General features: G+C 58.8%; 1 protein-coding gene across 5 annotated transcripts in view, besides 1 other annotated feature; it reads right to left on the bottom strand.

Annotated features, from left to right (window-relative positions):
* The window catches only part of NFIC (nuclear factor I C), a 109588-nt gene that overhangs the window by 8517 nt on the left and 87804 nt on the right, over positions 1-13267 (bottom strand). For 2 of the 5 annotated variants that reach the window (NM_205843.3, NM_001245002.2), the window contains exons 7-10: positions 11562-11687; positions 8035-8219; positions 6785-6938; positions 4066-4151 (exon numbers count right to left, since the gene is read on the bottom strand). In NM_205843.3, coding sequence (NP_995315.1) covers positions 4066-4151; positions 6785-6938; positions 8035-8219; positions 11562-11687 — 551 coding nt within the window. The remainder of the gene's footprint in view (positions 1-4065; positions 4152-6784; positions 6939-8034; positions 8220-11561; positions 11688-13267) is intronic. The other 3 variants (NM_001245005.2, NM_001245004.2, NM_005597.4) reach the window with 2 other exon arrangements.
* Positions 3123-3172: a silencer, noted in NCBI's record as "silent region_9844". NCBI's record gives its function as "represses an Ori minimal core promoter by ATAC-STARR-seq in GM12878 lymphoblastoid cells {active_cell/tissue: GM12878}" and the evidence as "EXISTENCE:reporter gene assay evidence [ECO:0000049][PMID:35858748]".

Genomic DNA, 13267 nt, shown 5'->3' with positions numbered 1-13267 from the left:
CTCTACTAAAAATACAAAAATTAGCCAGGCGTGGTGGCACGTGCCTGTAATCCCAGCTACTCGGGAGGCTGAGGCAGCAGAATCGTCTGAATCCAGGGGGCGGAGGTTGTAGTCAGCCAAGATCGTGCCATTGCACTCCAGCCTGGGCAGCATAAGACTCCGTCTCAAAACAAAAACCAAAAAAACCAAAAAAAAACAAAAAAAAATTCTCCTCTTTAATGATGTCCCCGGTATCCCCGTGAAGGAGGGGGTAGGTCTCCCTCCACCGCTGTTTTGTGTGAAGAAAGTGAGGCCCAGAGAAGTCAAGGAACTTGCCCGAGGTCACCAGCATGGAAGCGGCAGAGGTGGAACTTGAACTCAGGCCTGTCTGGCTCTGGCTCTCATTTCTGCTCCTGCCCAGGGCCAACCCCCTCGCCTGCCTCTCAGGAATCCCCTTGGCATCTTCTGAGCACTGTCCTGGGCGTCCAGGGCCCATCCTGTCACAGGTCCCCCGGATGGCCCCCTCTTGCTCCACAGAAGCTCACTAAGCACAGGGGGGCTGAGGATGACTCTCAACCTCCCAGAGGCGGGAGACCGAGGCTAAGGGAGGGGAGTTCTGCATGGGGCTGTACCCAAGGTCACGTCATTTGGGGACAGCTCCGGCCTCAGTCTCTGCAGAGAAGCTGCTGTCCAGACCCCTGCCCTGGAAACGCAAACTCCAACCCCAGATGGAGCATCCAGGGTGGACTGTGAGGGGAGGGCTGTGCCTCTGGAACTGGGGAGACCCCTCCACTCCCCAACTGAGGTTAGAGGTGGGGCCGCCCCCCACCGCTGCAGCAAATCATTCAACAGAGCCCCTCCAACCAGGCAGCCACTGGGCCAGCCCATGGAACTGGCGCCACAGTGGTTCCCAGCGCCCCACCTCCAGCCAAGTTCAAGTTCATCTTGGCCATTACCTCATGTCTGGTTTCTGTTGGCAACCGACAGACTCTGGGCGTGACCCTCCCCGTGGTGGACCAGCCTCCCCTCAGCCCTTCCTCCCTCCTCCCTTCCCTCCCCTCCCCTTCCTGCCTGGCTGTGGCCCCAGCAATGGGGCGGGGGTGGGGTGGGGGCACCCTCAACTCCACATCCTCCCACTCAGCTGAGGGGAGACTGAGGCAGTAGGTGTGAAGGGGGAGGTTTGGGCTCTGGTATCCTGCTGGCCTGGCTGCAGCCGCCTGTGTGGCTCCCGGCATGTGGCTCAATGCCCGCCTTGCCCCCCACCCTCGGTTTACCCAGCTGCTTACGTGGGTTCCCGTGCAGGAGAAATGTAGGGGCGTGAAGGACATCACAGAGGGGAGGGGCCAGGGCGTCAGAGCCACCCAGCCTCACAGTGGGGGGATTGATAGGGACGGACATGGGGCGATGGGTGGGTAACTGACCAGGGCGAGATCAATTAGCATAGATCACGGGGAGGGATATTGATGGGGGGAGAGTCCATGGACTGGGGGGTGTCGGGAGCCGGAGAGGCAGAGGGAAAGGCGCGCCCACCCAGGCTTTGGGGGAGGAGGGGGCAGAGGGAAGCGAATCCGCCAGGAATAGAGGAGGCGGAGGCAGAAGTGCTGACTGGCCAGAATCGGAAATGAGAGGCCTCCAAGCTCAGGGCCCTTTGAGCGGGAGCTGGGAGAGGGGAGAGCGGGATCTCACTGCTTCTTCCCTCCCTCTCTCCGGGGTCTGCAGGGAGGTGGCGGCGCCCGGCCTCAACCCAGGTGCTCTTAGTCCAGTCAGGGCAGCAGCAATGGGGTCCTCCCCAGACCTGTGCTCCCTGGATGCCCAGTTTGGGGACCTCGCCTTCCCCCTAACCCATGCTCCCCTGAGAGCCTCTTGACAATGTGTCACCTCCTTTCTGTGCTCCAGAAAGTTCTGACTCCCAGGCCTGGTGGGTGTCCACTCCCTCCCTCTAAACCCTTCTATGGCTCCCCACTACCCCAGAGCAAAGCCCGCATCATCTGTCTGGCCCCTGCCACCGGAGATCTCTCACATTCCAGCCAGCTCCCCCTCCCCCGACCCACACCATTGCCTATGCTGAGCCCCTTGCCAGTGCCCCCCCACACCCCATTCTGCCAGCCCTGGTCCCACCCTTTCTGGGTCCCCAGAGGAGTCCAGCCAGTCAAGATAGGGATGCTGAGAAAGGTGCCACCCTTGCCTGCCTCAGTTTCCCTTCCCTCCCAGGCTTGGGTGGGGTGGGGCTGGAGCCAGCACAGTCTGAGAGAAGGGTCCCGGGCCCTGGCGGGAGGGCCTGGTCAGAGAGTTTGGTCCAAGGCAGAGGCTGGGGAAGGGTTAAGCGGGCTGGGCCTCCTCCCACCGCAGCTTTTATTAGCTTTGGTTTCTGAACCACTTAAGACGTTCCCAGCCTCCCGCAGGGGCAGGGAGCGATGTGGGGTGGGGGTGGCAGAGGTAATGCCGGGCTCCATCAGCACCAGGCGGGGGAGAGGTTGGCCATAGGGGGCCCAAATCCCAAAGCGAGGAGTCCTGGACGTCTGCTCGCTGGGGGACCCTGACCAAGTTACTCCCTCTCCGGGGCTCTATGGGTGCAAGGCAGGGTACTTAATATTTACGGGGTGTGGGGAAGCCTGAACCTTTCAGTGCCCTTTCTGTCCCCCAGTGCCCTTCAAAGGCTCTTGGTGCGGGTGCCCAAGGCCAGAGGAAGAGACAGAGGTTCAGAGTGGGTGAGCCAGCACTGGGCTGGAGCCCTGGCCCCTGACCCAGGATTCCCTCCACCCATAGCACATGGATCTCCTCTGAACTCAGGAGAAGCAGCCTCCATCCCTGCTTCCTCCTCCGGCTGGTTTTGCGGAGCCTGGGAAGAGAGGGAGGGGCCGCTTACAGGCATCCTGGGCACCCAGCACAGGGAGGGAGGGGGAATGCCATGTCCCCTCCCCGCCCCCATCCGCTCAGCCAGGACAGCCCCGCAGGGTCCCGGGGAGGCCCCGTGACCCTTGCCCGTGGGCTCTGCAGCAGGAAACCTCCCTCAGTGGCTGGAAGATTTGAACACGGCCCCTGGGGACCCCATACATCTCCACGCTCTGCAGTTCCGTGGCCGCTGGGTAGCCCAGAGCTCGTTTCTCTCTGAGTCTGGACCTCCCGGGCCTGTGGCAGCCACTCCTACATCCTCCAACCCTCTCCCCAACACAAACCGGGGAGAGAGCAGAGGCTCAAAGGTCCAGCTGCTTACCCATAACCCGAAGACGCGCTCACACACTCCTGGCCTACACAGAGCCCCTTATGGGGGTGGGGGGTGAGGGACACCTGGGCCTGGGGCTAAGGCTGCCCTCCCACGCCCCCACTCCCTAGACTACTGTGCAGCCTCAGGCAATTGACTTCCCCTCTCTGAGCCTCCTCTGTCAACCTCCTGCCTGCCTGCCTGCCTTCTAGGGGTGGTGGGACCCCGGCCATGCTCACTCAGCTGCAGCCGTCTGAACATGTACGTGACTATGAACATCAACGTGAACATGAACGCTGGCCCCTGCCCCATCCTGTCTGTCCTGCTGACGAAGCCTCTCCGCCCTGACTCCTCACACTGGCTTAGATGTGGGCTGAAGCCTGGGGTGGGGGCTTGGATGCTGTCCTGGGAGGCCCCACGCCCCGCCATGGGCTGCCTCAGTTTCCCCCGGCCACCCCGCGGTCCCTCTAGGCCTCGGCGTGGATGGGGGATGGAGGCTGGAGGAGGGAGGGTGATGCACTGTGTGACCCTGGGCAGACCCCCTTGTCTCTCTGGGCCTCAGTTTTCCCATCTATACCATGGGAAGCAGGTGGTAATGACACTGGTCCCATAGCTGTACCACGATGGTCTCCAGAGACGCTCCTGGGGACCCCACAGGCTGAGTCTGGGGCCACACCCCATCCCCCCAGGACCAAGGTGGAGGGAAATTTGGCCTCAGGGAGAGGCCAGGTGGGGGCTCGAGGCCCAGGTGGGGTGTGGGAGGCTGGCGCCCCTGTGCCAGGGGTGTGGCGTGGGACCCAGCAGGCCCTCTTCGCCCTGAGCCCCCCGGGCCGGCCCCTCTGCCCTGCCCCTCCCACCCCACCAGCCGGCCTCTCGGCCCCTACCTGTGCCTGATAAATGCCCGCAGGATCCCTTGGTCCTAATCCCACAAAGGAACGGTTTGCAGGGGACGTGTCGGGCGGAGAGTAGGCTGCAGGGAGGAGAGAGACCGAGAGCCCGTTAGCGAGGGGTTGTGGGAGCCGGGGCGGCCCTGGCCCCAGAGAGGGTGGCCACCGCCAGGCGTCACACAGCCGGGCCTCTGCACCCAGTGCCTGGGGCCTCCGAGCCTGCCGCCCTACCCCCAGTTGAACCGGGCCCCCCTGAAAGGCCCAAGGTCCTTGGGAGGCGGGGATCCTGACTCGAGGGGCCCGGGGGTCACGGCTGAGATCGCCCAGGTGGGCGGGGTGTCTGCTGAGAGGGAAGGCAGGATGGCTCTGTAATTCACAAAACCGCCCGTGAATTATTCAGGGTGGGCAGCGCCCGCCCGGTCCTGCCACTGAGGGCTGCCTCCGCGCGGGGTGCATGAATTATTGAGGGCGTTTTATTTATTAATCTTCCTCCCGGAGAGGGCAGAGGGAGGGCTGGGTGTGTGCATACATACAGATGTGCGTATTTATATTTCAGCCTCAGCGATTATATTTTGTCGGCGTGTGAGTAACTCACGGCCTGGGGCTACAGCAGGGATGGGGGCCTCAGACAGGCCGGGACCCAGGTAGGGGGAGAAGAAGCTGCAACAGGCAGGGTCCCCAAGTTGTCCTGGCTGGGGTTGGGGGGAGCTGGAGGCAGCGAGGCTTATGGGGAGAAGTAGGAGTAGATTTGCAGTTAAGAGCCCCGGTGCAGGGAAAGGGGGGTGGAATCCATGCCTATCCTGCATTTATTAAGTGTGTACTGTATGCCAGGCACTGGGCATAATCCCGTTGAGCCCTGAGTGGATACTAAGCAGCATCCTGCATCTATTAAGTGTCTACTGTATACCAGGCTCTGGGCATAATCCCACCGAGCCCTGAGTGGATCCTAAGCAGCATCCTGCATCTATTAAGTGTCTACTGTAAACCAGGCTCTGGGCATAATCTCATCGAGCCCTGAGTGGATCCTAAGCAGTATCCTGCATCTATTAAGTGTCTATTGTATACCAGGCTCTGGGCATAATCCCACTGAGCCCTGAGTGGATCCTACACAGTATCCTGCACCTATTAAGTGTCTACTGTATGCCAGGCTCTGGGCATAATCCCACCGAGCCCTGAGTGGATCCTACGCAGTATCCTGCATCTATTAAGTGTCTACTGTATGCCAGGCACTGGGCATAATCCCACCGAGCCCTGAGTGGATCCTACACAGTATCCTGCATCTATTAAGTGTCTACTGTATGCCAGGCTCTGGGCATAATCCCATCGAGCCCTGAGTGGATCCCACGCAGTATCCTGCATTTATTAAGTGTCTACTGAATACCAGGCTCTGGGCATGATCCCACTGAGCCCTGACTGGATCCTATGCAGTCAACGCTCCCATTTCACAGATGAGCAGGCAGGGACAGCCGGCAAGAATGACCACAGCTGCCTGACACCACGCAGCATCAGGCGCCACATGGAATGTCCTCTCTGCCTCCCTGACCCATGTCACCGGCTTGTCCCCCACTGCCCTGTGAATTGGGCACCAAGGCAAACCCACTTTGCAGCTGAGAAAACTGAGGCTCAGAGAGGGGAAGACACCTGCCTGAGGTCACACAGTGAGAGAGCTGCAGAGGTGGGATTCCAGCCCAGGGTGGATTTGGGGCTGATCTCCTCCAGCCAGTGATCAGAAGCCGGTTTTTATGGGCAGGCAGCCTGGGTTCTGGCACGCAGTGGGGACGGGGACAGGAACGCCGGGGCAGGGAGAAGAGGAGCTGAGGGCACCTAGAAGGAACCGTGGCCACCAACTGCTTGGGTGGGGTGGGGGGTCTCATTTGGAGAGTGAGGGACAGAGATGCTCAAAAAGGGGGGTGAGGGGCAGATGGAGTCCATGGGGAGAGGTCTCTGGGTTCAGAGATGTCTGGCGCCCTGTGAGGGTGGGTGACCCACCCAAGCCTGCATGGGGGTCGTGGGGAGAGTCTGGGGGTAGAGCCACTGCGGACGAATGGGGTGGACCTCAGGACAGGGATGCCAGGACCGAGGGGCCATCCAGCAGCCACCCAGAACCACATCCAGAGAGCAGAAAAATCTAGAAGGTGCAGCAGCCGCCAACCCAGGGGCTTCCAGGTCAGGTGGACAGGCGAAGAGAGTCCCATCTAAAGGTGTGGTCCAGCCCAGGTCACCCAAAGGAACTGGGCCTGGTGTAGCTCCTTTCTCCCCAAGAAGCCAGAACTCTGGAAATGTTTATGTAAAACGTCCTGATTTTAAAATGATAACAACCGATTCTCTTTCTCCACAAACAAAAGACCAGTCTGGGGGTCGAGTCTGGCCCTCGGGCCGCCACTGTGAGATCCGTGTCCACTGTCAGCTGCCTGACATACCAGGGAGGGTTTCTGACGGCCCACGGCGGGCACCGGGGTCCCCCAGGTGACTCGGCGAAGGGGACAGACCCTGGACTCTCACCCTGGCCCGAGGCTTGGTCCGGCCAGCCCCTAAGGCTGCCTCAGCCCTACATGGGCCCAACCACGTGGCCACTGGGCTGTTTTCCGGAGACCCACCAAACTCGCCAGGCCCTGCAGGGTCGGGCCTGACCTCTGACCTGGCAGTGGGGCTGGGGAGGGGACAGGCCCCCCTGCGGACATCCGCCCCACCAGGGCACCGCTTCCCGCGTGCTTACAAGGCGAGGTCGGCGACGTGGCTCCTCCCTCGGAGGTGGTGGCGGGTTTGGTGGCAGGGGGGAGCGCCAGCCGTGGCAGCCCCGGGGGCGGAGGTGCCAGCATCTGAGCAGAAAGGCAGTGGCTGGGCATTTTGAGCTGACCACTTCCATTTAACTGGGGGAACAGAGAGACACGTGGTTAAGGGGTGGGCTCCCCCTCTACCTCGGGCTGCTGGCGCCGGCCGCCCCCGGCTCTGTGCACGGCCCGGACGGGGTGGCAGGCTGGGGGGCCAGGGCGCGGGTGTGACCATGGCGGGTTTGGTGGGTCTGAGGACGGCCGGAGGTGGAGGGGCCTGGGGACACCCGCTTGCTGGTGTCACTCAAAGCCCGGCACTACTGGGGCCACGCTCACTGCATCTCCTCTGTAAACCCCCTGCACGCCAACTCGACTGATTTCCTTCCAAACAGTGCCACCGCCTCCTAACAGCAGGTTCTCCGCGTTTTTCCTAATTCACTGCGAGCACGCCATCATCCACCATCATCCACGGCCTGGCCCGTGGTTCCAAAGTCCGAAAAGCTCTGAACATCCAAAGCTTCCTGTGGAGTCTGGCAAACGCTGTCTTGCTCGAACTGAGTTTGGTGGTTTTTTTGTAATCAATGTCTTCCTGCCCCCCGCCCCCCAACCTTTTTTTTCTTTTTGAGACAGGGTCTCGTTCTGTCACCCAGGCTGGGGTGCAGTGGCACAATCACAGCTCACAGCAGCCTCGACCTCCCAGGTTCAAGCGATCCTCCCACCTCAGCCTCCTGAGTAGCTGGGACTACAGGCGCCCGCCACCATGCGTGGCTCATTTTTAAGTATTTTTTTTGTAGAAACTGGGTCACGCTATGCTGCCCAGGTTGGTCTTGAACTCTGGGCTTATGCAATCCTCCCGCCTTGGCCTCCGAAAGCGCTGGGATCACAGGCATGAGCCGCTATGCCCAGTCCCTCCCTGCCTTGTGTTAACATGAGTACGACTCACGCAGTTGCTGGGACCTACGGGTGCTACCCAGACCCCACAGGGTGCGACATGATGCGCCCGAAACCCTGACATCCGAAAGCATCTCAATTCTGACCCAATCCAGCTGCCTCCCAGCACGACAGAGGAGGGGACTTCAGAGCCAAGTCCTCAAGACCCTTTTAAGCAGAGGTTGTGCCTTCGTGTGAGCACGTGGCCCCCGGGAGGTCACCTGGAGCCGCCAGGAGAGGCCCGAATGCGCCCCGCCCAACTCACCGGTCCAGGTTGCTGGCTGGCTGGGTCGCAGGCCAGCGAGACAAGATCTTTGAGCGGGTCCTGGGGGTTGAGATGAGGTGGGTAGCGGATGGCCGTGTGGGGGAAGTAGGTGGAGGCCGTCTGGGGTAGGATGGACGTCGTAGGGAAATGCAGAGCGGAGGACGGGTGTGGGCTCCGGGCGATCCCTGCGGAGACAGTGGGAAGCGGGGGTTACTTGGGGGCTCCAGCCGGTCTGCTCTGTGACCGTGTGACTGTGTGTCTGTGGGTGTCATTCCTGCCGGCATCTCAGTGCGTTTAGTAACAATAACCACCAAAAAAACCCAGCAGCACTGACCACATTGACACCCAAATTCCCCGACTCCCACGGCAACCCCACTGGGGCTGTGATATTATCCTTGTGTTTTAATTTAATTTTTTAGTTTTGTAGAGGTGGGGGTCTTGCTATGTTGCCCAGGCAGGTCTCGAACTCCTGGGCTCAAGCGATCCTCCCTCCTAGGCCTCCCAAAGTGCGGGGATTACAGGTGTAACCCACTGAGCCTGGTCTTTTTTTTTTTTTTTTTTTTTTGAGACAGTCACCCAGGCTGGAGTGCAGTGGTATGACCTCAGCTCACTGCAACCTCCACCTCCTGGGTTCAAGCAATTCTGCCTCAGCCTCCCGAGTAGCTGGGATTACAAGTGCACGCCGCCATGCCTGGCTAACTTTTGTATTTTTAGTAGAGATGGGGTTTCGCCATGTTGGCCAGGCTGGTCTTGAACTCCTGACCTCAGGTGATCCGCCCACTTTGGCCTCCCAAAGAGCTGGGATTGCAGGCGTGAGCCACTGCACCTGGCCCCGTCTTTTTTTTTTTTTTTTTAAACAGAGGATGACAGGGTGGCCTTCAGGGGATGTGTCACCTGCCTGGGGCCACACGGCATCAGATGGCAGACCGGGAATTTGAACCCAGCCCATCTGGCCCCACAGTCTACACTATAAATCTAGGGTTGGCAAGCTCTTTCTGCAAATGGCTGAATAGTGATCTTTTTTTTTTTTTTTTAAGAGATAGAATCTCGCTTTGTCACCCAGGCTGGAGTGCAGGGGCATGATCATGGCTCACTACAGCCTTGACCTCCTGACCTCAGGTGATCCTCCTGCCTCGGCCTGAGTAGCACGGACTGCCGGCGTGTGCCACCACGCCTGGTTAATTTTTTGTATTTTTAGTAGAGATGGGGTTTCATCATGTTGCCCAAGCTGGTCTCAAACTCCTGGACTCAAGCAATCCACCCACCTCAGCCTCCCAAAGTGCTGGGATTGCAGGCATGAGCCACTGTGCCCGGCCTAATTCCAGCACATAAAGAAATTCCGTCTCCATCAGCCGTCACTCCTCACCTCCTCCCCCAGCCCCAGCACCCATACATCCCCTTCCTGCCTCTGTGGCTGGCCCTGTCCTGGACATTTCATAGAAATGAGATCACATGCTGTGTGGCCTTTTTGTCTGGCTTCTCTTACTGAGCATGACGTCCTCAAGGTGGCCTGCGTCAGAGCCTCGTGCGTTTTCATGGCTGAGTCATATTCTATTGTGGTGCCTGCCTTTTCCTCTTTCTAAACAGTTCAGTGATTTTTAGTATTTTCACTATTTATAGCAGTCACTCCCTCATCTCCACAGCCTCTGGCCAGATAGTAAATATTTTTGGCTTTTGGCCACGTGGTCTCTGCTGTAATTACTCAGCCCTGCCAAGACAGGGTGAGAGCTGCCACAGGACATATACAAAGACGTGGTCGTGGCTGTTTGCCAATAAAACTTTATTCGTAAGAACAGGCAACCAGGGGGCCAGCGTTTGCTGACCCCTGGCCCAAATGGCTGCTTTGATTTGGGACTGCCTCTCTGTGTGCATGACTGTGTAAAGAACTAAATAGTTGATCACTAGAACATGGGGTGGTAAGCAATATTTGAGGCTTCCTACAATTCACCCCCCTTAATCCCAATGGCAACCATGGAAGGTGATTTTTTGTTTGTTCTGTTTTGTTTTTTTTTGAGATGGAGTCTTGCTCTGTTGCCCAGGCTGGAGTGCAATGGCACAATCTTGGCTCACTGCAGCCTCCGCCTCCCGGGTTCAAGAAATTCTTGTGCCTCAGCCTCCTGAGTAGCTGGGATCACAGGCATGCATCACCACACCGAGCTAATTTTTGTATTTTAGTAGAAACGAGATTTCACCATGTTGTCCAGGCTGGTCTTGAACTCCTGACCTCAGGTGATCCGCCTGCCTCGGCCTCCCAAAGTGCTGGGATTACAGGTGTGAACCACTGTGCCTGGCCGAGATGGAGATGTCTCTTTTTTTTTTTTTGAGATGGAGTCTCGCTCTGTCACCCAGGCTGGAGTGCACTGGCACGATCTTGGCTCACTGCAAGCTCCGCCTCCCGGGTTCACGCCATTCTCCTGCCTCAGCCTCCCAAGTAGCTGGGACTACAGGCGCCTGCCACCACGCCCGGATAATTTTTTGTATTTTTAGTAGAGACGGGGTTTCACCATGTTAGCCAGGATGGTCTCAATCTCCTGACCTCGTAATCCGCCCGCCTTGAAATCCCAAAGTGCTGGGATTACAGGCGTGAGCCACTTGCACTTAGCCTTTTTTTGGAGACAGGGTCTTGCTCTGTCGCCCAGGTTGGAGTGCAATGGCGTGAACTCGCCTCACCGCAACCTCTGCCTCCTGGGTTCAAGCGATTCTCCTGCCTCAGCCTCCCAAGTAGCTGGGACTACAGGCGCATACCACCACACTCGGCTAATTTTTGTATTTTTAGTAGACAAGGGGTTTCACCATGTTGGCCAGGCTGGTCTTGAACTCCTGACCTTGTGATCTGCCTGCCTCGGCCTCTCAAAGTGCTAGAATTACAGGCATGAGCCACCAAGCCTAGCTTTTTTTTTTTTTTTTGAGATGGAATCTTACTCTGTTGCCCAGGCTGGAGTGCAGTGGTGTGATCTCTGCTCACTGCAACTTCTACCTCCCGGGTTCAAGCAATTCTCCTGCCTCAGCCTCCCCAGTAGCTGGGACTACAGGTGCGTGCCACCACGCCTGGCTAATTTTTGTATTTTTAGTAGAGATGGGGTTTCACCATGTTGGCCAGGCTGGTCTCAAACTCCTGACCTCAGATGATCCACCCGCCTCAGCCTCCCAAAGTGCCGGGATTACAGGTGTGAGCCACTGTGCCTGGCCTCATTGGCAGCTTCTGATCCTGCCTGTCCATCAGTGTCTGGGGTTGGAATGGGGGGATTAGATTGAGACGGGGGTGAGGGGAGTGAGGTGAAGTTAGGTTGCAGCCTTTTGTTATACAGGGGGGAAACTGAGGCCCAAAGGGACTGAGTCCAACCTCTCAGCCGGGCTGGAACAAGGCCCTGGGCGCTCTCCACTACGGCACCTCTATGGTTTTTTGCCCACCTAGAAGGCTACAGCAATAGGACTCATGGTCAGACATCCAGTGGGACTTCCCCGGCTGTGAGAGGCCTGATAGGAGGGCCCGCCGCCCCTCCCCGCCAGGGGCCCGTGGCGCTTACCGCTGTGCACGGCGATGACGGGCCGGTGGTGCTGGGTGAAGCTGGAGAGGCGGGGAGAGTCCTGGGGGGACGGGCTGTTGAATGGTGACTTGTCCATCTCTGTCTTCTTCACCGGGGACGAGATGCCTGTGGAGGGGATGGGACGAGAGAGTCACAGGCTGGTCACACCCCATGAGCCCTGGACCTTCCCCAAAGCCAGCCTCCGAAGGGATAGGAAGCCTCATCACCCCGCCTCCTCTTACCCCAGAATCCTGAGGGGGAGAGGCTGTGAGCCCATTACACAGAGGAGTAAACGAAGGCTCAGAGCAGAGAAGGGGCTAGCCAGGGCGGCACAGCCGGGGGATGGAGAGCTGGGTATCAACACGTGCCCCTGGGCCTCGCTCCTGGCCCTTGCCTACTCTCCTTCCAGAGAAATGGGAAGGCTCAGGGCTGCCCCATCACCTGGGAGTCACCCGAGCCCTAGAGAAGGTGGCAGGGAGGGCAGAGACAGTCAGATCCGAAGTCCAGTTAGACCCTGACTGGCTAAGGGCGCACAGACAAGCCCCAGCTCAGCTCTGCCTTCCCTCGTCCACGCGGGAGGAAGGAACGGAGCCTCCCTGGGGCTGAAATGAGGTGCATCCCCCCTCTGCAGTGACTTGCTGGCATCACTCTGCAGACAGGGGCCTCACTACCTCCCAGGCTGCCTGGGACAAAAGCCCCCACAGCCCCCAACTCAGCAGCTCAGCCCCTCACACCTTCCTCAGTGAATCAATGAATGAAGAAACAGAGGCCAGGCACAGTGGCTCATGCCTGTAATCCCAGTGCTTTGGGAGGCTGAGGTGGGCAGATCACTTGAGGCCAGGAGTTCAAGACCAGCCTGGCCAACATGGTGAAACCCTGTCTCCACTAAAAATACAAAAATTAGGTGGGTGTGGTGGCGGGTGCCTGTAATCCCAGCTACTTGGGAGGCTGAGGCAGGAGAATCGCTTGAACCCAGGAGGCAGAGGTTGCAGTGAGCTGAGATCACGCCACTACACTCCAGCCAGGGCTACAGAGCAAGACTCCATCACAAACACAAAAAACAGATGGATAGTCGGGTGCAGGGGCTCACGCCTGTAATCCCAGCTACTTGGGAGGCTGAGGCAGGAGAATCGCTTGAACCCAGGCGGCAGAGGTTGCAGTGGGCCGAGATCACGCCATTGCACTCCAGCCCAGGCAACAAGAATGAAACTGTGAAACTGTCTCAAAAACAAACAAGCAAGTAAACAAACAAACAAAAAACGGATGGACTCAGGGAGGCTCACCCACCAAACATCGGCTTCCCTCCCCCTCCAGGCACCCCCTGGAAAGCCCCTGGGTGTGGGGGAAGCAGGTGGTCCAGGGTTCAAACCCCGGCTGGCCATGAGGCTGTGCGACCTGGGGTGAGCTGCCACGTCTACCCCTTTTCATAAAACAGGGGATTCTGTAAAGCTCTGGAATTTCCATCGGGAGCAGTGTGGGAGTGGCAGCTGTGAGGATTGGGCCAGGGGTGCCTGTGCAGGTGAAGCCCATGGCCGTCCCAGATCCCTGGGCATCGGGGCATTCTCTGAGGATGCCTTCAGCCCTGCTTTCCGAGGGAACGTCAGCCACCCAGCTGGAAGAATGTTAGCTACTGCAGGAGCCGCTGCTGCTGCTATTTGGGGTGAGTGGGGAGATGACACGGTGCCCCTTGACACTTTCACCCTGTC

This window comes from Homo sapiens, chromosome 19 (genome assembly GCF_000001405.40).
Source record: "Homo sapiens chromosome 19, GRCh38.p14 Primary Assembly".
NCBI lineage: Eukaryota > Metazoa > Chordata > Mammalia > Primates > Hominidae > Homo > Homo sapiens.
Note: the sequence above shows the minus strand (reverse complement) of the source record. Positions and strands in the feature narration are given on the sequence as shown.